Below are 26,969 nucleotides of genomic sequence, written 5' to 3'. Positions count from 1 at the left end.
CGCTTGCCACCATACCTGACTAATTTTTTTGTATTTTTAGTAGAGACGGGGTTTTGCCATGCTGGCCAGGCTGGTCTCGAATTCCTGACCTCAGGTGATCCACCCTCCTCAGTCTCCTAAAGTGCTAGGATTATGGGCATGAGCCACTGTGCCTGGCCTTAATTATTGTATTTTTAGTAGAGACAGGTTTCACCATATTGGCCAGGCTGGTCTGGAACTCCTGACCTCAGGTTATCTGCCCACCTCAGCCTTCCAAAGCGCTGGGATTACAGGCGTGAGCCACCGCGCCCAGCCTTGTTTCGTACTCTTTTCTTTGCACACTTATCCTACTTAGAATTTGATAGACTCTTTGAACCTGTGTGAAATGGCTTTGTGATGTGTCAACTTGGGTAAACTACAGTTTATAGATTTCTCTTCCTAGCATGTTTCCAGTTAGAATGGGTTACAAGGGAGATTCATGAGGCTTGGAGAGTGGAAGGACAGCAGAAGACACTTTGTAGCATACATACACCTTCTCCCAGTTACTCCATCATACATTAGTCAGGTGTTGCCGTACAAGGAATTTATTTATTTATTTATTTATTTATTTATTTATTTATTTATTTATTTTTGAGACAGAGTCTCGCACTATTGCCCGGGCTGCAGTGCAATGGTGCAATCTCGGCTCACTGCAACCTCCGCCTCCCAGGTTCAAGCGATTCTCCTGCCTCAGGCTCCCGAGTAGCTGGGATTACAGGCACCTGCCACCACGCCTGGCTATTTTTTTTGTATTTTTAGTAGAGATGGGGGTTTCACTGTTAGCCAGGCTAGTCTCGAACTCCTGACCTCATGATCCACCTGCCTCGGCCTCCCAAAGTGCTGGGGTTACAGGCGTGGGCCATCATGCCTGGCATAGAAATTTTTAAATATAATTAATGTTTCAAATCAGTTGAGCTTCTGGCTTGGGCTTGCTTGGTTGATCTCTGCAGTTTGCTGGTGGCTCAATTGGAACTAGATGGCCTAAGACCTCATTCACATATCTAGCAATTGGCAGCCAGTTTTGTCTTAAGGGTTGGGGGCAAGGTTCAGTTGGAATTACTGTCTCTGCTTCATGTAGTTTCTTTTTTTTTGAGACAGAGTCTTGCTCTATTGCTCAAGTGGTGCAATCTTAGCTCACTGCAACCTCCACCTCCAGAGTTCAGGTGATTCTCCTGCCTCAGCCTTTCAAGTAGCTTGGACTACAGGTGTGCATCACCACGCCCAGCTAATTTTTGCAATTTTAGTAGAGACGGGGTTTCACCATGTTGCCCAGGCTGGTCTTGAACCCCTCACCTCAAATAATAGGCCCGCCTTGGCCTCCCAAAGGGCTGGGATTACAGGCATGAGCCACCATGCCAGGCTGTTCATATAGTTTCTTCTCCTCCAACAGACCTGTCCAGGCTTCTTTAAATGGTGGTTTTGGAATTCCAAAGAGAAGTAAGGAAGTAAGAGAGAGCAAGCCCCAATGCATAGTTTATATTCCTTTGCTTTTGTCACATCTGCTGTTGTCTCATTGGCCGAAACAAGTCATAGGGCCAAGCCAGATACAGCAGGTGGAGTATAGATTCTCCTTTGATGGGAGAAAGAGCCACGTCATGTTACAAAGGGGTGAGTGCATAGAGATGAGAAGAATTATTGTGGTCATTTCCACAATCAATCTATCAAATTGCCTTATGAAGAGCACTGCAATTAAGTCAAATGACAAACTTGGAAAAATATTTGCAAGTCCAATCACAAAAGATTAATTTAGCTAATACATAAGAAGCTTCTATAAATTGTTAACAAAAAGACCAAAAGCTAATACACAAATGGCAAAAGGATATGGACAGTTTCCAAAAGAAAATACAAATGTCTTTTTCTGGCTGACAGCAAGGGAAAGGAAAAAAGAAAAAAGCTTTAAAGACATTGAAATAATTTTTTTAAAGCTGATTGTTTTTTAATTGCATGGTACAAAACTTTAAAAGGCACAAAAAGGTACAGTGAAAAATCTCCTCCTGTACTACATTTATCATGTCCTTTGATTTTACTTACAATAGATTTTGCCATGCAGGTATTTTTATTATTTCAAAATATTTAAATAGGCCAGGCGCGGTGGCTCATACCTGTAATCCCAGCACTCTGGAAGGCCAAGGCGAGCAGATCACTTACGGTCGGGAGTTCGAGACCAGCCTGGTCAACATGGTAAAACCCCATCTCTACTAAAAATACAAAAATTAGCTGGTGTGGTGGTGCACGCCTGTAGTCCCAGCTACTTGAGAGGCCAAGGCACGAAAATCGCTTGTACTTGGGAGATGGAGGCTGCAGTGAGCCAAGATCATGCCATTGCACTCCAGCCTGGGAGACAGAGCAAGACTCTGTCTTAAAACAAAACATTTAAATATTTTAAGCACTTATTTATGGCACCTGGGTTCTGGTCATACATTTCTGACTCACAATTATTTAAAAATCAAACATTAGGCTGGGTGCAGTGGCACATACCTGTGGTGTCAGGTACTCAACAGGCTGAGGTGGGAAGATTGCTTGAGTCCAGGATTTTGAGGCCAGCCTGGGCAATATAGCGAGAACCTGTCTCTTAAAAAGAAGCCAAAACGTTAAAACTTCCCTTCAATTTCTTCTAGTACCTTTATTTTCAAATTTTTTATATTTAAATCTTTGATTCTTTGGATTATCCTGACATAAGGTGTGAAGTATGGACCTAATACCAAGGGTTGAATTATCCATCTTTCTACTACTGATTTAAAAGGTCATCTTTTTCATAAACTAAATTCCTGCATATATTAACATTTGGAGGCAGGCAGTGAGCTGATCAAAAAGAATGACAGCAAACCCCTGGAGAAAGAAGAGAGTGGGAGAAACATACTGGAGCTGTGGAACCTTTCCTTTTCACTTTAGCTGACCTAATGAATACATGCACAACTGTTGTAATGTTTGCCTTGTAGAGCTACTGAAGGATGCTTAACCACCAACCACACAGAAACAAAGTAAGAGAAAAGGCTTTTTAATATGAAAACTATGTATTTGGGCACAAAAATGCAACACACAGTAAGAAACCATATTCTATCAATTATGATATTCTGTAATCTAAGAACACAGAAAGTTTTGTTATTAGGAAATGCCAAGAGGAAAAAGAACTCTGTAAAGTCCTATTCAATTTACTTTGTTAGGGAAAAGGATGTTTATTTGGCTTTTGTCACAGTTCCATCATGTCTACTCTTCTTGTAAGTTCAGCTTCAATGCTATCCTACAGGAAGAAAGACATACCATAGATAAGGACATAAAACAGATGCTCTAACTTTTATTTAATGTTATTTAAAATAAGGGAAGCAAAAAAGGAAACATTAGAACAAAAAATTTTAAAAATACCATTATGAATATCAAATATGCTTTTAGATATTCCCTTGTTTTTACATCTCCCCTCTTCCCCTGCAAAAGCACTCAGACTCCTAAGTGATTCTAAGAAATATGTGAAGGGAAGGGAAAAAAGCCTTTAGAGAGAGAGAAATCTGTAACGACATATGAATAAATTTTTCTGGCCTTTGCTACTAAAACAATGTGCTTCCACAATGTCACTCACATCACCTCTTTTCTGTGTTTTTTTTTTTTTTTTTGAGATGCAGTCTCACTCTGTCGCCCAGGCTGGAGTACAGTGGGACAATCTCGGCTCACTCTGCAATCTCTGCTTCCCGGGTTCAAGCAATTCTCTACCTCAGTCTCCCGACTAGCTGAGATTACAGGCGCCCACCACCATGCCCGGCTAATTTTTTTTGTATTTTTAGTAGAGATGGGGTTTCACCATCTTGGCCAGGTTAGTCTTGAACTCTTGACCTTTTGATCCACCCACTTGGCCTCCCAAAGTGCTGGGATTACAGGTGTGAGCCACTGCACCTGGCCTCTTTTCCATTTTCATTGCCACTGTCCTCATTACTTCTTATCTGGCCTAAATAAGCTAATTGGTTTCTGCAATTTTCTTTCTCCCAATCTACCCTCAACAGTGGCTACAGAATAATCTTCTGAAGCACTAACCTGATCAAAAAGTATAGCTTTGGCCAGGCACGGTGGCTCATGCCTGTAATGCCAGCACTTTGGAAGGCCAAAGCAGGTGGATTACTTGAGGTCAGGAGTTGGAGACCAGCCTGGCCAACATGGTGAAACCCCGTCTCTACTAAAAAAATACAAAAATTTGGCCGCGCACGGTGGCTCACGCCTGTAACTCCAGCACTTTGGGAGGCTGAGGCGGGTGGATCACCTGAGGTCAAGAGTTCAAGACCAGCCTGGCCAACATAGCAAAACCCCGTCCTACTAAAAATATAAAAATTAGCCAGGCGTGGTGGCAGGTGCCTGTAGTTCCAGCTACTCAGGAGGCTGAGACAGGAGAATCACTTGCACCAGGGAGGTGGAGGTTGCAGTGATCTGAGATCATGCCATTGCAATCCAGCCTGGGCAACAGAGCAAGACTCCATCTCAAAATAATAAATAAATAAATAAATAAATAAATAAATAAATAAATAAATAAAAATGCAAAAATTAGCCAGGCATGGTGGTACACACCTGTAATCCCAGCTGCTCAGGAGGCTGAGGCATGAGAATTGCTTGAACCTGGGAGGCGGAGGTTGCAGTGAGCTAAGATAACGCCACTGCACTCTAGTCTGGAGGACAGAGCAAGATTCTGTCTCAAAAAAAAAAAAAAGAAAGCATAGCTTTGATCATATTTCTCTTGAGCTTAAAAAACAAGGAAACACACAGCAGCTTTCTGTGGTCCCTACATCCTCTAAGTTCAACACTCTTTATATGTTAAGGCCTTCTACATCATGAACCAATTGACCTTTTCCAACTTTATCTTACATTTCATGTTTCTAAGCAGCCGGACTTTATCACTTGCTACAGCTTGAGTAAGTCCTCCATGTTTCAGCTTATATGCCTTTGCAAATTCTTTTTGCCTAGAATATTCTATATCTCTCAATATATTCCCCTTTTTCCACTAGGGAAATGTACACAAAATTTTAAAAGGCATAAAATACTACTATGTGTTTTTTTGTTTTTTGAGAGGGAGTCTTGCTCTGTCCCCCAGGCTGGAGTGCAGTGGCGTGATCTCAGTTCACTGCAACCTCCACCTCCCAGGTTCAAGTGATTCTCCTGCCTCAGCCTCCCAAGTAGCTGGGATTACGGGCACGCATCACCACGCCCAGCTTATTTTTGTATTTTTAATAGAGACAGGGTTTCCCCATGTTGGCCAGGCTGGTCTTGAACTCCTGACCTCAGATGCCACCCACCTTGGCCTCCCAAAGTGCTGGGATTACAGGTGTGAGCCACTGTGCCCAGCTACTATATGTTTCTTAATGGAAAAAATATATACACACGTACACAGCCAAAAAAGTATTAAAAGATGCAGGAGAATGATACACAGTAACTTTAGGACTGCAGCTTACCACTGAGGAGAAAGGAAAGAAGGATGAAGAAGACTTTAGCTATATTAGCATTTATTTTCTTTTTAAAAAAATCTGAAAAAATTACAGGAACTACTTACTAGTTCTCGCTTTGCTTCTTCAATTTTCACTTGAGCAAGAGACGGATTCTTTAAAAAAAAATAAAACAAGGAAAGGTTATATTGCCTCAATTCAGACCCAAGGAGAAAAATAATGCCATAATCCTTTTCAAAAGGCAAAAATCCTCCCAGAGGGATACCCAATGTACATATAACACTGAAATTTACCACTGACTTTAAACCTTTAAAAACCAACACATTATTTTCTTTCTTTTTTTTTTTTTTTTGAGACAGAGTCTCACTCTGTTGCCCAGGCTGGAGTGCAGTGGCTCAATCTCAGCTCACTGCAGCCTCTGCCTCCTGGGTTCAAGCGATTCTCCTGCCTGTCTCCTGAGTAGCTGGGATTATAAGCGCCCACCACCACGCCCTGCTAATTTTTGTATTTTTAGTAGAGACGGGGTTTCACCATGTTGGTCAGGCTGGTCTCAAACTCCTGACCTCGTGATCTGCCCGTCTCGGCCTCCCAAAGTGCTGGGATTACAGGCATAAGCCATCATGCCCAGCCTTTTTTTTTGAGATGGAGTCTTGCTCTGTTGAGCAGGCTGGAGTGTGGTGGCACGATCTTAGCTCACTGAAATCTCTGCCTCCCAGGTTCAAGTGATTCTCCAGCCTCGGCCTCCTGAGTAGCTGGGACTACAGTTGCGCACCACTGGGTCCAGCTAATTTTTGTATTTTTAGTAGAGACGGGGTTTCACCATATTAGCCAAGCTGGTCTCTAACTCCTGACCTCAGGTGATCAGCCTGCCTTGTCCTCCCAAAGTGCTGGGATTACAGGCGTGAGCCACCGTGCCTGGCCTAAACACACTATTTTCATGGTCATATAGTACCCTCAGGGAAGGTTGGAGGAAATAATTGTTTTTTAATTCGCGAAAATTATTACCGGCATTAAGTCTAAATAGGACTCCAATTTTTTCTTCAAAGGTATAGTCTGTTGCTTTAATCTTGCCAGTTTCTGGGGGTAAAAGAACACAGTCACAGAGTAATAGAAACATTCACAATGCAACTAATACTGTCCATTTCTGAAATAAAACACAACAAAGCATTAACATTAGTATATTTTAAATAACGTTATCGAATAAAAAGCTTCAAAGATAGACAAACTCACTCCAAATGGAAACAACACCTGTTAGATGCTTAAAATAGGAAAGTTATAGTCTTATTTAATTATTATTATTATAATTTTTTTTTGAGATGGAGTCTTTCTGTGTTGCCCAGGCTGGAGTGCAGTGGTACAATCATGGCTTACGGTGGCCTCAAACTCCTCAGCTCAACCAATCTTCCCACTTCAGCCTTCCAGGTAGCTGGGACCACAGGCGTGCACCACCATGCCTGGCTAATTTTTTTTTTTTTTTTTTTTGAGATAGAGTCTTGCTCTGTCACCCAGGCTGGAGTGCAGTGGCACGATCTCGGCCCACTGCAACCTCCGCCCCCTGAGTTCAAGTGATTCTTCTTTCTCCTGCCTCAGCCTCCTGAGTAGCTGGGATTACAGGCATGTGCCACCATGCCTGGCTAATTTTTGTATTTTTAGTAGAGATGAGGTTTCGCCATTTTGGCCAGGCTGGTCTCAAACTCTTGGGCTTAAGTAATCTTCCTGCCTCTGCCTCCCAAAGTACTGGGATTACAGGTGTGAGCCACCATGCCTGGCCTTTGCTCCCATTTATTAACAATAGGATTGAAGTATGCTGTCTTAGAATAGAAAAGAATGTGATTAAGAGGAATCAAAACATAAAGGAGGCTGGGTGTGGTGGCTTACACTTCTAACCCCAGCACTTTGGGAGGCCAAGGTGGGAGGATCACTTGAGCCCAGGAGTTTGAGACCAGCTTGGGCAACATAGCAAGACCCCCATCTCTATTTATAAAAACAAGGGGAAAAAAATGTAAAGGGAGAACTAGAATCCCAAATACATATTTATGAATTGTCAACATTAGATTCCAAGAACAAAGTATGAAAAACGTTAAGAATAATAAAACAAAACAAAACCCTCTATTTCTCTCTTCCCACCAAAACAGGTAAAACCTTTATATAACCTAAAATCCCAGAATTGCATTTGGTAACTACAGGAGTTTGGAGACCTGCATTTTACTGTCTACTGAAAGAGAAGAAAGGGGAGCACCTAGATGATTAGCTCATGGTCCTTCAATAAATTTGTTTAATAAATACATCAATAATACATAAGTGACTCCAGCGGAGTTTCTAACTTATAATAAAAAGGAAACCATGCAAATGTGAGGGCATATACAGCTAAACAAGGAATAAAAGATATAAATACCAGTGAATATAAAGTACAAAGGTAAAGGAAAAGAAATCAGGTCCACAGTGAATAAAAGCCGAATAAAAAGAAACAAATGAAAAAGCAGACTGTGGAGTAAAATTTTAAAGAAAGTTAAATTAGGTTAAAATAAGCTCACCTCTGATAGTGCTACTAAGGACTGATGAGACAGAGAAGCATCCATGCCTCTGGCTGAAAGTTGCTCCTACAATTACCAAAAAAAGGAGTTCAGTTAAAAAATTATTTGAAAAGTGACCACCATCAAATATTTTTCTTTTTCTTCTTTTTTTTTTGAGACCGAGTCTTGCTCTGTCACCCAGGCTGGAGTGCAGTGGCGCGATCTCGGCTCTCTGCAAACTCCGCCTCCCGGGTTCATGTCATTCTCCTGCCTCAGCCTCCTGAGTAGCTGGGACTACAGGCGCCCACCACCACGCCCGGCTAATTTTTTATATTTTTAGTAGAGACGGGGTTTCACTGTGTTAGTCAGGATGGTCTCGATCTCCTGACCTCATGATCCGCCCACCTTGGCCTCCCAAAGTGCTGGATTACAGGCGTGAGCCACCGTGCCCAGCCCATCAAATATTTTTAACATATAACACAGTAAAGAGGAGCTACAAGTATAAATGAAAAACTGTACATGTATCTAAGCATTTGTACGTTACATGTGAATCCTTTCCACACTCACGCATTTGTGACAAGATGGGTGCAGTGTGTAAGGCCTGAGTTTCAGAGCCTGGATGCCTGAGTTTGAATCTAGATCTGCTTACTGTAATAGCTATGTAATCTTGGGCAACTTACCAACTTCTCTATAGTCCTCTCATCTGTAAAAAGGGAATAATAATGCCTAGCTGTGAGGATGATGGTAAAAAATCAGGCCGAAGAGAGCTAACTATATTCGGTCCTTCATACAAACCTCTGCAGCCTTGATTCCAAATCTGAATTCCTCTGACTTTGCTTTTAGAAAGTCCATGTTCTGACGACGATTATCAACTTTGGCCCTTTCTGTAGACAGATGCAACTCTGCTTTCTTGACATCCCTTTAAAAAGCAAAATTAAAAACATTTTCTTCTTCTTCTTCTCAGTAAAAGTATTGTACAATAGAAACTCTACTACTTTTGGATTCAATGCTGGCTTGGCCAAGAGTTGGTAACCAGGTCATCTTCCCCTCCATGTTGCACTCTGGGTTTTTTTTTTTTTTAAGAGATGAGGTCTTGGTCTGTCACCCAGGCTTGAATGCAGTGGTGTGATCACTGCAGCCTCAAGCTCCTTGGCTGAAGTGATCCTCCCACTTCAGCCTCCCAAATAGCCAGGGCTACAGACACATGCCACTATGCCTGGCTAATTTTTAAATCTTTTGTAGATGGCCAGGCACAGTGGCTTACACCTATAATCCCAGCATTTTGGGAGGCCAAGGTGGGCAGATCACCTGAGGTCAGGAGTTCGAGACCAGCCTGGCCAACATGGTGAAACCCTGTCTTTACTAAAAATACAAAAATTAGCCAGGCATGGTGGCATGCGCCCATAATCCTGGCTACTCAGGAGGCTGAGGCAGGAGAATCACTTGAACCTGGGAGGCAGAGGTTGCAATGAGCTGAGATTGTACCACTGCACTCCAGTGTGGGTGGCAGAGTAAGACTCCATCTCAAATAAAAAAAAATAATAAAATAAATAATTTTTTTGTAGAGACAGTCTCACTATGCTGCCCAGGTTTACAACAATTTTACAATTAATGTAAGCCAATTATTCTTGAAGAAAGTAAATCAGCCATTCAAAAAAAAATTGGTGCTCACTTTGGCAGCTCATATACTAAAATTAGAACGACACAGAGAAAATTAGAGTGGCCTCTACTCAAGGAAGATGGGTAAATTTGTGAAGTGTTCCACATTTTGTTTTGTGGCTTATCTAGAAATAATATGGAAAATATTGCTGTTATTTTTGGCAAAGAAAGTCAATTTTGTATAGTTTATTTCAACCTAAATAAACTGTGAATTTTGTTTAAAAAATAATAATAATAATAATAATTTAACATATCTGAAGCCAATTTGAAATAGGAGGTCCTAAATACCTCTGTACTAAATGTGACATGAAGTTCGAGACCAGCCTGGCCAACATGGTGAAACCCCGTCTCTGCTAAAAATACAAAGAAATTAGCTGGGTGTGGTGGCAGGTGCCTGTAATCCCAGCTACTTGAAAGGCTGAGGCAGGAGAATCACTTGAACCCGGGAAGCGGAGGGTACAGTGAGCTGAGATCGCGCCATTGCACTCTAGCCTGGGTGACAAGAGAGAAACTCTGTCTCAACAAAATAAATAAATAAAATAAGTAAATAAATAAATAAAAATAAACGTGACATGACAGTGCCTTGCACATATGTAGTCATTTGTTGAATAAATTTACATACCGTCAAATTACTTGTGCATATATACACATACTCCTGATCTATAGGCCCTAATCTCTGGGGCAAAAAGGAACAGAAAAAGGCCTAAAGTATCATAAGAGGGATACCCTAGCTATAGCAAGAATGCACAACAAAACATAATGTGACTTTAAGTATAAGAAAAATCACATACATTTTGAAAATTCTAAAACCCATATTATTTGTTTTTAAGAAAAGGCAGGAGGCTGGGTGCGGTGGCTCATGCCTGTAATCCTAGCATTTTGGGAAGCCAAGGCAGGTGGACCACTTGAGGTCAGGAGTTCGAGACCAGCCTGGCCAATATGGTGAAACCCTGTCTCTACTGAAAACACAAAAATCAGCTGGGCATGGTGGTGCACACCTGTAGTCCCAGCTACTGGGGAGGCTGAGGCAGGAAACTCGCTTGAACCCGGGAAGTGGAGGTTGCAGTGAGCCAAGACTGCACCATTGCACTCCAGCCTGGGTGTCTCAGCGAGACTCCATCTCAAAAAGAAAAAAAAATAAGGTAAGAAATTGTATGAAGTAAAATTGTATGAAGTAAAAGCTGAAAAAGTCAGGCCGGGCGCAGTGGCTCACGCCTGTAATCCCAGCACTTTGGGAGGCCGAGGCGGGCGGATCACCTGAGGTCGGGAGTTCGAGACCAGCCTGACCAACATGGAGAAACCCCGTCTCTACTAAAAATACAAAATTAGCTGGGCATGGTGGCTCATGCCTGTAATCCCAGCTACTCGGGAGGCTGAGGCGGGAGAATTGCTTGAACCCAGGAGGTGGAGGTTGCAGTGAGCTGAGATCGTGCCACTGTACTCCAGCCTGGGTGACAGAGTGAGACTCCGTTTCAAAAAAAAAAAAAGCTGGAAAAGTCTATATCCAACCATCTCCAGCTCCACTAATCATTCAACTTAAAAAAATGTTTTATGGATCCCATTTCCTAATGTTTTTAAAATCACACCTACTGCCAAAACTAAATTTGACAATGTCCTATTACTCCCTTATTTATAAATTGTCACCACTCTGAACTCAATTACTTACTCTTGTAGACATTTTTCTAATACTAAAGTTGCAGTTAAATTTTTTTCAAGTTTTTCCAGTTCAATCTTGATTTCTTCACTTTTGGATTTGGTACGAAAGAGATCAGAGGTCAAATCATTCACTGCAGGGATAAAACTAAAAGAAGAATCTGGTCATATACATGGGCTTAATGGGCAATAATTATAATTACTCCTCATTGCTAAAAATGACTTTATTGCCCTGTAGATTTTTATATAACCATGCTGTTCATACCTTTATGCCTTTTTTTACACACTGTTCCCATTGCCTGGAATGCCCTTCTTCATTCGGCAAAGTTCCATTTGTTCCTTCAAAACTCAGATGAGCGTCCCTGTCATCCTGGCATTAACTACCTCCTTCTCTGTGCTACCCAGCTATACCTTGTACATACTTTTACTGTTACAGCTGTCACACTATGTTATAGTCACATTTCTATCTCCCTTATTTGACTGTAAGCAGAGACTGTTCTTTAAGGAAGTTACTATCGTATTCATCTCGCTTCCCCAGTTATAACAGAGCTATAGTAAGAAGGCACAAAACATAATGTGACTTTAAGTTGTATGATAGTATGTAAGTATAAAAAAAAAGTTTAAAAAATTCTAAAATACACATTATTTGTAAAAAAAAAAGGCAAGAAATTATATGATTCATCCCTGCTTCCCCAGTGCTTATACAACTAACATACAACTGGTATTTGTTATCTGCTGAACTTATTTAATTCAAGTCTAGATTTCTGCTGCCATACAGTAGGGATGCTCTTATACCTAAAACACTACTCTTTGAGCTTATACATAAATTGCCTTTAAATTGACAGGTAAGCTGTTCTGCTGTGTTGTTCTCTGATTATGATAAGTTGTATTAATATTCGTAGTTCTACCGGGCGCAGTGGCTCACGCCTGTAATCCCAGCACTTTGGGAGGCAGAGGTGGGTAGATCACAAGGTCAGGAGTTTGAGACCAGCCTGGCCAGCATGGTGAAACCCTGTCTCTACTAAAAATACAAAAAAAATTAGCCAGGCATGGTGGCAGGCGCCTGTAATCCCAGCTATTTGGGAGGCTGAGGTAGGAGAATCGCTTTACCCCGGGAGGCGGAGGTTGTAGGGAGCCGAGATCACGCCACTGCACTCCAGCCTGGGTGACAGAATGAGACTCTGTCTCAAAAACAAAAACTAAAACAAAATATTAGTAGTCCTAGCTAAGATATGGCCAAAAGTGGTAGTCATATGAACTTTATAAGACTGGTTTTGAATCTCAGCTCTGCCATTTAGTAGCTCGGATAAATTATTTAACCCACACCTCCTGATTCCTCTAAAGGTTGTTGGAAGAATCATGTTATTATATAAGTAAAATGCCTGTTAAAAAGAATGAAAATTCCTGACCTACTTAACAAAAAGGTAGACATAACCAAAATTTATTATGCTCAACCAAATCATTTAGCCTACTATCTTTCTTATTATACACAGGGAACAATGTGATACTAACCCCTTTCCAAATATACATGAGAACCACCCTTCATAAATCTAATCCTGGAAGAAGAAAACACTAAAAATTAACCAATACCATATTTATCCAAATTAATTATACTCACTGGCAAAGACATGAAGTAACTAAATTCAGTGCTTTGTATTTATTGCCAATTTTTCATATAGAATTATGCTGAGAACAAAAAGTCTTTAAGACCTTATAGCAGATATGATTGCGGAAATTAAAACTGTCATAAGAATTACCTAGCTAGCGAGGTATCCTTTGTTTCAAGGGCCACCGCACTGTCAACCAAAGCATTCAGATACCTGGAACCAGTGCTAGAGAGATTGGCGGGGGAAAAATTCACACTCTCCATGAGAAGGTCTTGAAGATACTTGGCTAAAAACATGAAAGAGTTCCATAGTGACTGTTTGCTTTTTTAAAAATTTTTAACAGCTTTATCAAGACATAATTCACATAGCATATAATCCACCCACCTAAGGTATGTATGTAATTCAGTGGCTTTTAGTTGTATCCCCATCAGTACAACCTATTCTTAAAAACATTTTCATCACTCCAAAAAGAAACTCTACATCCCTTAGTCATCACTTTATTTTTCTTTATTTTTCTTTTTGAAATGGAGTCTCGCTCTGTTGCCCAGGCTGGAGTGCAGTGGCACGATCTCAGCTCACTGCAACCTCCACCCCCCGGGTTCCAGTGATTCTCCTGCCTCAGCCTCCTGAGTAACTGGGATTACAGGCGCCCACCACCATGCCCAGCTAATTTTTTTTGTATTTTTAGTAGAGATGGGGTTTCACCATGTTGGCCAGGCTGGTCTCAAACTCCTGACCTCGTGATCCGCCCACTTTGGCCTCCCAAAGTGCTGGAATTACAAGCGTAAGCCACTGCCCCCGGTTTATTTTTTCTTATAGAGACTAGATCTCGCTAGGTTGCCCAGGCTGACCTCAGGTGATCTGCCAGCCTTGGCCTCCCAAAGTGCTAGGATTACAGGTGTGAGCCACCATACCCGGCCCCCTTAGTCATCACTTCCTAATCTACCAACCCATGAAACCCTAGCAACCACTCCCTGTCTTTATTCATTTGCCTATTTGGGACATTTCATATGAATGGTATCATAAGATGTGTGGTCCTTTGCGACTAGCTTCTCTCACAATAGTTTCAAGGTTCATCCATGCCACAGCATGTACCAGTACTTCATTCCTTCTTATGGCTGAATAATATTCCATTATACGGACATATCACATTTTATTTATCCACTTAACCACTGATGGACATTTGGGTTGTTTCCACATTTTGGCTATTATAAATGCTGCTAAAAACATTTATTCAGTAAATGTTAGGTTTTGATATGAACATATGTTTTCATTTCTCTTGGGTGTAAGTGGAATTGCTGGTCATATGTTAACTCTATGTTTAAACATTTTAGGAACTGTCAGATTGTTTTCCAAAGTGATTGTATGATTTTACATTCCCATTAGAAGTGATGAAGGCTCCAATTTTCCACATCTTCTCCAACAGTTGCAATATGTCTTTTTGATTATAGCCATCCTAGTGACTGTGAAGTGGCACTGTGGTATTTGTTTTCTTGAGACAGGGTCTCACTCTGTCATCCAGGATGGAGAACAGTGGCACGATCTCAGATGATCCTCCCACCTTGGCCTCACAGGTACCTGTGGACCACTATACCTGGCTAATTTTTGTATTTTTTTGTGGAGATGGTGTTTTGCCATGTTGCCCAGGCTGGTCTTGAACTCCTGGACTCAAGCGATCTGCCTGCCTTGGCCTCCCAAAGTGTTGAGATTACAGGCGTGAGCCACTGTGCCCAGCCTAGCACTGTGGTTTTGATTTGAATTTCTCTGATGACTAATGATGCCGTGCTTTGTGACCATTTGTGTATCTTCGTAGGAGAAATGTCTGTGTATACCCCTTGCCCATTTTAAAATTGGGTTGTCTTTTTATTATTGAGGTTTTGGTTTTTTTTGTCGTTATTTTTTTTTTGGGACAGGGTCTTGCTCTGTCACCCAGGCTGGAGTACAATGGTACAATCTCAGCTCACTGCAACCTCCACCTGCTGGGCTCAAGTGATCCTCCCACCTCAGCCTCCCAGGTAGCTGAGACTACAGGTGTGCACCACCATGCCTGGCTAATTTTGGTAATTTTTTAGAGATGTAGTTTCGCCATGTTGCCTAGGCTGACCTCAAACTCCTGGGCTCAAGCAGTCTGTCTGCCTCAGCCTCCCAAAGTGGTGGGATTACAGGTGTGAGCCACTGTGCCCAGGCTTTATTATTGAGTTGTAAGAGTTCTTTACATGTTGTAGATACAAGTCCCATATCAGATATATTTACAAATATTTTCTCCCATTCTGAGGACTGTCTCTTTTCATATTCTTTCTTTCCTTTCTTCCCTTTCTTTCTTTCCTTTTTCCCCCTCCCCTCCCCTTCCCTTCCCTTTTTCTGAGACAGTCTCGCTCTGTTGCTCAGGCTGGAGTGCAGTGGCACGATCTCGGTTCACTGCAACCTCTGCCTCCCAGGTTCAAGTGATTCTCATGCCTCAGCCTCCCAAGTAGATGGGATTACAGGCATGTGCCACCACACCCAGCTAATTTTTGTATTTTTAGTAGAGACAGGGTTGGCCAGGCTGGTCTTGAACTTGAGACTCAGGTGATCCACCTGCCTCAGCCTCCCGAAGTGCTGAGATTATAGGTGTGAGCCACAATGCCCAGCCTGTCTTTTCATATTCTTGATGGTGTCCTTTGAGAACAAAAGTTTTAAATTTTGATGATGTCTAATTTATATACTTTTTATTTTGTTTGCTTGTGCTTTTGGCATCATATCCAAGAAACCAATGCCAAATCCAAGGTTACAAGGGTATATACCTTTGTTGCCTTCTATGCATTTTAGGTTTAGCTCATATTTTTTAGGCTTTTTTTTTGAGGCAGGGTCTCACTCTGTCACCCAAGCTGGAGTGCAGTGGCACGATATTGGCTCACTGCAACCTCTGCTTCCCGGGCTCAAGCAATCCTCCCACCTCAGCCTCCCAAGTAGCTGGGACTACAGGCGTGCACCACCACCCCTGGCTAATTTTTTTTTTTTTTTTTTTTGAGATGCAGTCTCACTCTGTTTCCCAGGCTGGAGTGCAGTGGCACAATCTCGGCTCACTGCAACCTCTGCCTCCCAGGTTTAAGTGATCCTCCTGCCTCAGCCCCTCTAGTAGCTGGGATTACAGGGACATGCCACCATGCCTGGCTAATTTTTGCATTTTTAGTAGAGATGGGGTTTCGCCATTTGGCAAAGCTGGTCTCAAACTCCTGACCTCAGGTGATCCACCCACCTCGGCCTCCCCAAGTGCTGGGATTACACCGTGCCTGGCCTTTTTAGGCGCTTTATTCATTTTGAGAGAATTCTTCTATTTTGTGTGAGTTTGAGTCCAACTTCATTCTTGAGCATATGGATATCCAGTTGTCCCTTTTGTTGAAAAGGCTATTGTTTTCTCCGTTGAATTGTCTTGTTACACCCTTGTCAAAATTCAATTGACCAGGAGATCAACTTCCAGCATAATAGTGTGGGAGTTGGGCTGACCTGCTCTTCTGTGAAACTGGTGAAAATCAGAAGAAAGAAAGAAAACAAACCCAAGCATTTAAAGCCTCTAAAAATGGTCCTAAGGGTACACAGCAAATGAAGAAACAACTATTCAATAAAATCTATAAAAACTCAGTAAGGACACTGAGAATTTGTGGTATTTGAACCAAGACTCCTCCCTCCCTCCTCCCTTCCAGCTCACTGAGGTGGAGACTCCACTCCAGACAGCTGCAGTCAACATGGGGCTTTCTTTGCTCCCAGCTCCCAGCTGGAAGGCCTTCTTCCTGGGAGAAGCAAGACTTTAGTGTTTTTCATCCTGCCACTAGCTATCTGCTACTGCGTCCAAGTCCCAGCGGGATGTGGTTGAGAGGTGTGTCTGCCCAGCCACTGCTCTTGGAATGGAAGCTCCTTGAGTAAGGCAAGCTGAGAATACTGGAGTCCCAATGGCCCTTGCTCCGGCTAGTGAGGTGGTGGTTCCACACCAGGAGAGGCAAGCCAAGAGGACCTAAGGCTGCCGCACTCCCTCTCTACCAAGCAGTTCCTATAGCTGGCATATCGCTCAGTGACAAACTTGACATTTTCCCTACCTACCTCCAACCCCAACTCCAGAGGCTGGGTTCAGAGATTTTGCCTCATGGGAAAATCAAGTCATAAAACAGATGGCTCTCCATCTCTTCCCAAAGGAACTGACTACATTTGCAACAGAGCTTAGAAAGGTTCAAGCCTAAGGGCAATCTCAAAAAGAGTAGAAGTTGTGGTCAAAGAAATTGGGAGCAGATTCAAGATACAGGCTAAACTGTAGGGCAATTAGTTTGTAGTTAAGACATCTAGGAGAGCCATCCAGAAGATAAAACAAATATCTAACTGACCTCAGAAACTATTCCTCTAAGAGAGCTAGAATTTGATTGGAATTGCTCGTAGAGCAGTTTATGCCCAGGGCATTGTTGAAAACAACAGCTGTAAATTAGTGGAATTTTACAGTCAGGTGTGCTCAGTGAAAGAGAGGAAGTCAGCTTGACCCAAACACTGTCAACTCAGAGTGACCTTGGAGATACTCAAGTATGTGTCTCCCTGAGGAGCTGATAACATCAGGAGTTTAACTCTGTTGGGGATAAACAGACTTCATTAAAATAATCCAGCTAGCAATCAGACAGGTAAGCCAATAACAATAACAGGAGGAAGTAAGATTAGTACCTAGCAAGGATACAATATGTTGTCTGAAATGTCCAGTTTCCAGCAACAACAACAACAACAAAAAAGAGGAATGCAAAGAATAAGACAGGAACTGTAATAGAAAAAAGCAAGCAACAGAAGCTGCCTGTGAGAATGACAAGATGTTGGCTTTATCAGGAAAAACTTCAAATATCCATAATAAGCATGTTCACAGAATTAAAGGAAACCAAATTAAAGAAGGAACATGAGGTAAGATGACAATGTTGCATCAAATAAAGAATATCAATGAAGAGAAATTGTAAGAAAAGAACTAAATGGGAATTCTAGAGTGCAATAACTGAACTGAAAAATTCACTAGAGAGAATTAACACTAGATTTGCAGCGGCAGAAGAAAGAATAAGTGAACTTGAAGATAGATCAAAGATATTATGGGCTGGGCATGGTGGCTCACGCCTGTAATCCCAGCACTTTGGGAGGCCAAGGCAGGCAGATCACTTGAGGTCAGGAGTTTGAGACCAGCCTGGGCAACATGGTGAAACCCTATCTTTACTAAAAATACAAAACTTAGCCAGGCATAGTGTTGCACGCCTGTAGTCCCAGCTACTTGGGAGACTGAGGCATGAGAATCGCTTGGACCCAGAAGGTGAAGGCTGCAGCGAGCTGAGATTCCGCCACTGCTCCAGCCTGGGCAACAGAGTGAGACCCTGTCTCAAAAAATATATATATATATATGGAATATATATATTATATATATAATATGGAATATATATATTATATATATAATATGGAATATATATATTCCATATATATGGAATATATATTATATATATAATATGGAATATATACATATTATATATATTATATATATTATATGGAATATATACACATTATATATATTATATATATAATATGGAATATATATACACATTATATATATTATATATATGTAATATGGAATATATATACACATTATATATATTATATATATAATATGGAATATATATACACATTATATATATTATATATATAATATGGAATATATATACACATTATATATATTATATATATAATATGGAATATATATACACATTATATATATTATATATATAATATGGAATATATATACACATTATATATATTATATATATAATATGGAATATATATACACATTATATATATTATATATATAATATGGAATATATATACACATTATATATATTATATATATAATATGGAATATATATACACATTATATATATTATATATATAATATGGAATATATATACACATTATATATATTATATATATAATATGGAATATATACACATTATATATATTATATATATAATATGGAATATATACACATTATATATATTATATATATAATATGGAATATATACACATTATATATATTATATATATAATATGGAATATATATACACATTATATATATTATATATAATATGGAATATATATACACATTATATATATTATATATAATATGGAATATATATACACATTATATATTATATATATAATATGGAATATATATACACATTATATATATATTATATATATATGGAAGCCAAAGAACAGAGAAAAAAAGAACAAAGGAAAATGAAAGGCCAGGTGCGGTAGTTCACGCCTGTAATCCCAGCACTTTGGGAAGCCAAAGCTGGCGGATCACGAGGTCAGGAGATCGAGACCAGCCTGGCCAACATGGTGAAACCCCATCTCTACTAAAGATACAAAAAGTTAGCCGGGTGTGGTGGTGCATGCCTATAATCCCAGCTACTCAGGAGGCTGAGGCAGGAGAATAGCTTGAACCTGGGAGGCGGAGGTTGCAGTGAGCTGAGATCGTGCCATTGCGCTCCAGCCTGGGCAACAGGGCAAGACTCCATCTCATAAAAAAAAAAAAAAAAGAAAAGAAAAGAAAATGAAGAGAGCCACAGAGAAATGTGGAACACCATTAAGCATACCAACATACGCATAATGGAAGTACCAGAAGGAGAGAAAAGAGAAAGAAGTGAAAATAATATAACAAGAAATTAGCTGGGTGCAGTGGTTAATGCCTGTAATCCCAGCACTTTGGGAGGCCGAGGCAGGCAGATCACTTGAGGTCAGGGGTTCAAGACCAGCCTGGCCAACATGGTGAAACCCTATCTCTATTAAAAATACAAAAATTAGGCTGGGCGCTGTGGCTCACACCTGTAATCCTAGCACTTTGGGAGGCTGAGGTGGGAGGATCCCTTGAGGCCAGGAGTTCAAAACCAGTCTGGCCAACATGGCGAAACCCCGTCTCTACTAAAAATACAAAAATTAGCCAGGTGTGGTGAAATATGCCTGTAAGTCCAGCTACTCAGGAGGCTGAGACAGAATTGCTTGAGCTGGGGAGGCAGAGGTGGCAGTGAGCCGAGATCAAGCTCCTGTACTCCAGCCTGGGCAACAGAGTGAGACTCTGTCTCAAAAATAATAACATTAATAATATAACAAGAAACAATGCTGAAAATTTACCATGCTCATTCAAAAGCAATAATATACACATTCAGGAAGCTCAACAAATCCAAGTAAAATAAATGTAAAGAGAACTACAAACAGACATATTAGGGTAAAAAATGCTGAAGTAAAAGAAAATCTTGAGGCCGGGTGCATTGGCTTATGCCTGTAATCCCAGCATTTTGAGAGGCCGAGGTGGATGGATCAGGAGATCAAGACCATTCTGGCTAACACGGAGAAACCCTGTTTCTACTAAAAATACAAAACATTAGCCAGGCATGGTGGCCCATGCCTGTAGTCCCAGCTACCCAGGAGGCTGAGGCACGAGAATCGCTTGAATCCGGAAGGCAGAGGTTGCAGTGAGCCGAGAATGCGCCACTGCACTCCAGCCTGGGCAACTCCGTCTCAAAAAAAAAAAAAAAAAGAAAATCTTGAAAGCAGCAAGAGAAAAAAAAAACTACCTGTTACTTACAAAGAAACCCCAGTAAGATTAATGCTGACTTCTTGGTGAAATAATGTAGGCCAGAAGACAGTGAAATAACACATTCAAAGTGCTCAAACAGAAAAAAATCTTCAACCAAGAACCCTACACCTAGCAAAACTACCTTTAAAAAATGAAGGCACAGCCTAGGCAAAATAGCAAGATCCCACCTCTACAAAAAAATTTGAAAGGCCAGGTTGGTGACTCACGCCTGTAATCCCAGCACTTTGAGAGGTCAGATGGGTGGATCACCTGAGGTTAGGAGCTCAAGACCAGCCTGGCGAACATGATGAAACCCTGCCTCTACTAAAAATACAAAATTAGCCAGGTGTGGTGGCTCATGCCTGTAATCCCAGCTACTGGGAATCTGAGGCAGAAGAATCACTTGAACCCAGGAGGTGGAGGTTGCAGTGAGCCGAGACTGCGCCACCGCACTCCAGCCTGGGCAACAAGAGTGAAACTCCATCTAAAAAAAAAAAAAAAAAAAAAAAAAAAAACCTTAAAAAAATAAGCTGGGCATGGTGATTTACACCTGTAGTCCTATCTACTTGGGAGGCTGAGGCAGGGGGATCACTTGAGCCCAGAAGTTCGAGGCTGCAGTGAGCTATGATCATGCCACTACACGTCAGCCTGGGTGACAGAGCAAGACTCTGTGTCAAAAAAAAAAAAAAAAAAAAAGGACAAAATAAAGTCTGCTAGATAGAAAAACCACAGAGAATCTGTTGCTAGCAGACTCAACTTACAAGAACTAAGGGAAGTTTTGTAGGCTGAAATCAAATAGCCCCAAATGGTAATCTGAATGCATATGAAAAAACAAAGACTGTAAGTAATGGTAACTATGGAATTATAAAGACAGCATACATGCATATTTTTTCTACTTTCTTCCCTTAACTGATTAAAAAAGCAACTGAGGCAGGGCGTGGTGGCTCACACCTATAATCCCAGCACTTTGGGAGGCCGAGGTGGGCGGATCATGAGGTCAGGAGTTCGAGACCAGTGTGGCCAACATGGTGAAACCCTGTCTCTACTAGGAATACAAAAATTACCTGAGCACGGTGGCATGTGCCTGTAATCCTAGTTATTCAGGAGGCTGAGTCAGGAGAATTGCTTGAACCCAAGAGGCGGAGGTTGCAGTGAGCTGAGATCACACCAAAGCACTCCAGCCTGGGCGACAGAGCATGACTCTGTCTCGGGAGGAAAAAAAAAAAGAAAAGAAAAAGAATACTCCACCCAACAAGAGAATACACATACTTCTCAAGGGCACATAGAACACTCTTCAGGAGAGAACAGCTTTATGCTAGGCCATAAAACAAATGTCAATACATTTAAAAGGATCAAAATAATGCAATGTATTCTCTGGTCATAATGAAATGAAATGAGAAATCAATAACAGAAAGAAATTTAGGAAATTCACAAATATGTGTGATATAGTTTGGCTCCGTGGCCCCACCTAAATCTCATGTTGAATTGTAATCCCCACGTGTCAGGGGAGGGGACTGATGGAAGGTGATTGGATCATGGGGGCGGACTTCCCCCTTACTGTTCTCGTGATAGTGAGTTCTCACCAGATCTGATGGTTCAAAAGTGTGGCACTTCCAGCTTCATGCCCTCTGTCTCTCTCTCCTGCTCTGGCATAGTGAGTAAGACGTGCCTTGCTTCCCCTTCACCTTCAACCATGATTGTAAGTTTCCTGAGGCCTCCTCAGCTACGTGGAACTGTGAGTCAATTAAACTTCTTTTCTCTTTTTTTTTTTTTTTTTTGAGACGGAGTCTTGCTCTGTCTCCCAGGCTAGAGTGCAGTTGCGCGATCTCAGCATACTGCAAGCTCCACCTCCCAGGTTCATGCCATTCTCCTGCCTCAGCCTCCCAAGCAGCTGGGACTACAGGCGCCCGCCACCATGCCCGGCTAATTTTTTGTATTTTTAGTAGAGACGGGATTTCACCGTGTTAGCCAGGATGGTCTTGATCGCCTGACCTTGTGATCCGCCCGCCTCGGCCTCCCAAAGTGCTGGGATTACAGGCTTGAGCCATCATGCGGGGCCTAAACCTCTTTTCTTTATACCCAGTCTCAGGTAGTTCGTTATAGCAGTTTGAGAACGGACTAATACAAAGTGGAATTAAACAACACACTCCTAATAACCAACAGGTAAAGATGAAATCAAACACATTAGAAAATACTTTGATATGAATGAAAATGTAGGTACAATGCAACAAAACTTATGAAATACATTGCAAATGGTATGTGGAGGGAAATTTGTACTTGTAAATTCCTATTTTAAGAAAGAAGAAGAATCTCAAATCAATAACCTAACTTTCCATTTTAAGACACTGAAAAAAGAAGAGCAGACTAAACCAAAAGCAAGCCGAAGGAATTAAATAATAAAAATTAGAGTGGGCCAGGAGTGGCTGCTCACACCTATAAATCGCAGCACTTTGGGAGGGTGAGGCAGGGTCAGAAGTTTAAGGCCAGCCTGAGCAACACGGTGAAACACTGTCTCTAGTAAAAATACAAAATTAGTGACAGAGCAAGACTCCGTTACCAAAAAAAAAAAAAAAAAAAGAAGTAAATTCCCTCAAATTGACAAAGGGTGTCTACAAAAATCCCACAGCTAACATTACACTTAATGGTGAAGACTGGATTCTCTCTTGTCTAGGATTAGGGACAAGACAAGGAGTCTGTATTTGCCAATTCTATCCAACATCATATTGGAGGTTCTAGCCAGGGCAATTTCTTCTCATTTGCCTCCTCAAGTGACAAACAGGTGGCACGAAGAATGAATAGTTTCAATAGTTTCATTTGTATTCCTCATGATTAAAAATCTCCACACAGCCAGGCACGTGGTGTGCACCTATAATCCCAGCTACTTGGTAGGCTGAGGTGGGAGGATCACTTGAACCCAGGAGTTCAAGACCAGCCTGAGCAAAATAGGAAGACTCTGTCTCTCCACTATAAAAAACAAAAACAACAACAAAACTTCATCTAAAAGTTTTATGTCCTTTCCCAATTCCTGCAAATATTTCCAAAAGTTCCAATCTCATGTGCTGTAAAGAACTGTGCTTTGCAGAAATAAAAACTGCACCTAAAAAATGATTTGGATTATTTTTAACTCAAAGGTCATTCAAGTCCAGCGAGCTATAGATGGCATTACTACTCAGTTTTTAGAATCGCAAATGGAGGAAGCTGAAACTCTTTACCAATACACATCAATGTACACTTGTTATAAAGTTCCACATATTTTTCATTTTCTGCTCAACACTTTCACTGTATAAAAGAAGGAAAAACTTAGAAAAGAGAAGTAATGATGCATAGAGCTATCAGATCTCAATGGTGGCAATGCTCTTCTAGATACCTAGACATAAAAATTGTGTTAAAATTTTGCATACATTAGTTAGAACATTTGTTATTTAATATGTATCACCCTGAAAGGTATTTAAGGACAGACATAAATAATTTTACTTTGAAATCCTTAGATTTTTGGTTACAGTATATGATAGACAAAAAAGAAAGCTCTTATAAAATGAGATTTTTCTGGGCTCCAAGTCCCTTTCTCTGCACTGTATTTTAATAATTACAAAAATAAAATCATTTAAAAATAAGACAATTTTAAAAGCACATATATGGGAGAATATGGCTATAAAGGAGTGGCACAGGGGAGGTTTTTGGGGTGATGGAACTGTTCTGCATCTTGATTGTGTGATTTCAGATTGTGAGAGTGGTTCTACACTCTAAGTGTATTAAAATGGTACACAAAAATAAAAAGTCAATTTTACTGTATGTTAATTTTTAATTAATTAATTAATTAATTTTTTTTTGTTGTTGAGAGAGTCTCACTCTGTTGCCCAGGCTGGAGTGCAGTGGTGTGATATCTGCTCACTTCAGCCTCCACCTCCCGGGTTCAAGAATTTCTCCCGCCTCAGCCTCCCAAGTAGCTGGGATTACAGGCACATACCACCACACCTGGCTAATTTTTGTATTTTTAGTAGAGACGGGGTTTTACCATCTTGGCCAGGCTTGTCTCAAACTCCTGGTCTCAAGTGATCCGCCCACCTTGGCCTCCCAAAGTGCTGGGATTACAGGCGTGAGCCACTGCACCTGGCCCTGCTGTATATTAACTTTTAAAAGAAAACTGGAAAAAAGCACATATGCAATAGAATCAAATATAAACTGCACTATATTCAAAATATCATATGTAACAAATACCATACATCTGATTAAATATAGGGCAAATGCAGGCCTCACTTCCTCTCTTTGGTGTATTCTCGTATCTAAAAAGATTTTTGTCAATCTTTACTTTTGTGGTTTGTATTATCAAAACAATAGGCATCTTGAATGCACTTTTTCTTTTTTTCTTTTTTTTTTTTTGAGACGGAGTCTTGCTCTGTCGCCCAGGCTGGAGTGCAGTGGTGCGATCTCGGCTCACTGCAAGCTCCGCCTCCTGGGATCACGCCATTCTCCGGCCTCAGCCTTCCGAGCAGCTGGAACTACAGGCGCCCGCCACCACGCCCGGCTAATTTTTGTATTTTTAGTAGAGACGGTGTTTCACCGTGTTAGCCAGGATGGTCTTGATCTCCTGACCTTGTGATCCGCCCGCCTCGGCCTCCCAAAGTGCTGGGATTACAGGCGTAAGCCACCGTGCCCGGCCTTGAATGCACTTTTTCAAACTATATATGCCCAGCAGAAAATTCTAATGCAATCTCCTGATACGTAGTCATAGAGTAATTTCGTCCAAGTCTCACATTTCATGGCCACCACCTCAGGTGTCCTGATAGGTCCGTATGACTAAATCATGGAGACCGGAAACAGAAAAAACAGATAGGTAAGTAAAAAACCACAAGGCATCTTGTGTGTCAGACTAACAAGTTTAGACTCTTTTAAGGCTTACTGTTTTGCTATCAGAGTACCAATAAGATATTTAGTATAATAACATTTATTACTTAGAGAATTACTACTGGCCAGGCAGGGTGGCTCATGCCTCTAATCCTACCACTTTGGGAGGCTGAGGCAGGCGGATCACCTGAAGTCAGGAGTTCGAGACCAGCCTGGCCAATATTGTGAAACCCTGTCTTTACTAAAACACAAAAATTAGCCGGGTGTGGTGGTGCAGGCCTGTAGTCCCAGCTACTTGGGAGGCTGAGGCATGAGAATCACTTGAACCCAGGAGATGGAGGTTGCAGTGAGCTGAGATCACACCACTGCACTCCAGCCTGGGCGACAGAGCAAGATTGTCTAAAATATATACACACACACACACACACACACACACACACACACACACACACATACATATACATATATATAAACATAAAACAATAAAGTTACTACTATAACAGAGTGGAAGAAAATCTGGGAAAAATAAAGGAGCAAAACAAGTAGTCTACAGTAAATTAATCCTGTATACTTTAGTGTTATAAAATTTGGTTACCTCTATTTATTCTCGTTCAAAACTCTGGACTTAATCTCACCTTCTGACTCGTATTCACTTGCTTTCTGCTTCAAGTCCTCTATTACCAGGTAGACATCCCTGTCCCGGACCCTGTTGCGTTCTGAAAGGTGATGTAAAATCTCTGTGGTCCGTGGGTTCACCTCATACTGTGGAATAGGATGATCTCCAAATATTTTTTTTAACCACGCAGCAACCTAACCATTAAAAGAAAGACAAATATTATAAGCCTTGTTTACTGTAATGGCTCGATGAGAATATGACAAAGAAGTGATCAAAAGCAAACTAAATGCTTTCTGTGACTATTTTGGAGTCCTACTTCACAACCTCACTTGTCTTTAGGGAGATACTAGATATCAGGAAATAAAAAGTGAGCAAGTACACAAAGAAACGTACAATACTGAAAATTACCAGAGAACAATCCGTTCTTTTCCAAATCTGCAAAAGCGGTACAGGCTAACAATTTGCCTCGCTTGAAAAACCTTAAAGCTTAATAGACCATAATAATGCGAACGCATTATTAGACCGTGCATGGTCTGAAAAAAGCAATTGTCCCTCGATCACCAGAAGCCCCGCCGCGCCGGGAGGCTCCCAGTGTTGGGATGCAGGGCGCGGAAGCAGTTCAGATGTGGAAGCCGCCGGGCTGAGCAGCGAACCGGAAGGCGGGTTTGGCTTCATAAGTCCCACTCCAGAGTCTGTGGACACGGGCTGCTCAACGCCTCTCCCGGGCCAGATCCAAACAAGGGGAGGCCCGGGCAGGAAGGGAAAGGCCTTCAGGAGAGTCTAAGCACGGGGGGCTTGCAGATAGTGACGGCGGCACTAAAAGACGGATGTGTGGAATAGGGGAGAGAAAAGTAGACGTGGCGCGCACAGGAGACCCGCTGTCGGCGCGGGGGTGTCAAAAACGCGTTTTCCAGGAGGCCAACGATCCCCATTCCCGCCCCATCACCTGCGTTTCTCTCTCCTCCTGCGGCTCCATAGCTGCGGCTCCCGCCACTTTACTAGGAACTCCTAGCGGGAGATGCG

At 41.4% G+C, this 26,969-nt stretch overlaps 1 protein-coding gene and 1 pseudogene across 2 annotated transcripts, besides 1 other annotated feature; one reads left to right on the top strand and one right to left on the bottom strand.

Moving 5' to 3' along the window:
• Positions 1–3,000: 3,000 nt before the first annotated feature.
• HAUS1 (HAUS augmin like complex subunit 1) lies at positions 3,001–26,949 on the bottom strand. Of its 2 annotated transcripts, none has more exons than NR_026978.2 (9): positions 26,893–26,949; positions 25,926–26,140; positions 13,018–13,153; positions 11,274–11,408; positions 8,744–8,867; positions 7,970–8,035; positions 6,441–6,512; positions 5,543–5,590; positions 3,001–3,259 (listed from the first exon to the last, which is right to left on the bottom strand). NR_026978.2 is itself a non-coding variant. In NM_138443.4 (9 exons), the coding sequence occupies exons 1-9, from the start codon at positions 26,920–26,922 to the stop codon at positions 3,209–3,211; spliced, it is 837 nt and encodes a 278-aa protein (NP_612452.1). In that variant the 5' UTR covers positions 26,923–26,949; the 3' UTR covers positions 3,001–3,208. The 2 variants fall into 2 exon arrangements, 1 of the variants encoding a protein (NP_612452.1); NM_138443.4 differs by having other exon boundaries at positions 25,966–26,140.
• Positions 9,613–9,719, top strand: RNU6-1278P (RNA, U6 small nuclear 1278, pseudogene; annotated as a pseudogene).
• Positions 26,545–26,634: an enhancer, noted in NCBI's record as "active region_13271". NCBI's record gives its function as "activates an Ori minimal core promoter by ATAC-STARR-seq in GM12878 lymphoblastoid cells {active_cell/tissue: GM12878}" and the evidence as "EXISTENCE:reporter gene assay evidence [ECO:0000049][PMID:35858748]".

The sequence above is a fragment of the Homo sapiens genome, chromosome 18 (genome assembly GCF_000001405.40).
Source record: "Homo sapiens chromosome 18, GRCh38.p14 Primary Assembly".
Taxonomy (NCBI): Eukaryota; Metazoa; Chordata; class Mammalia; order Primates; family Hominidae; genus Homo; species Homo sapiens.
This window is presented reverse-complemented; position numbering and strand designations above follow the sequence as displayed.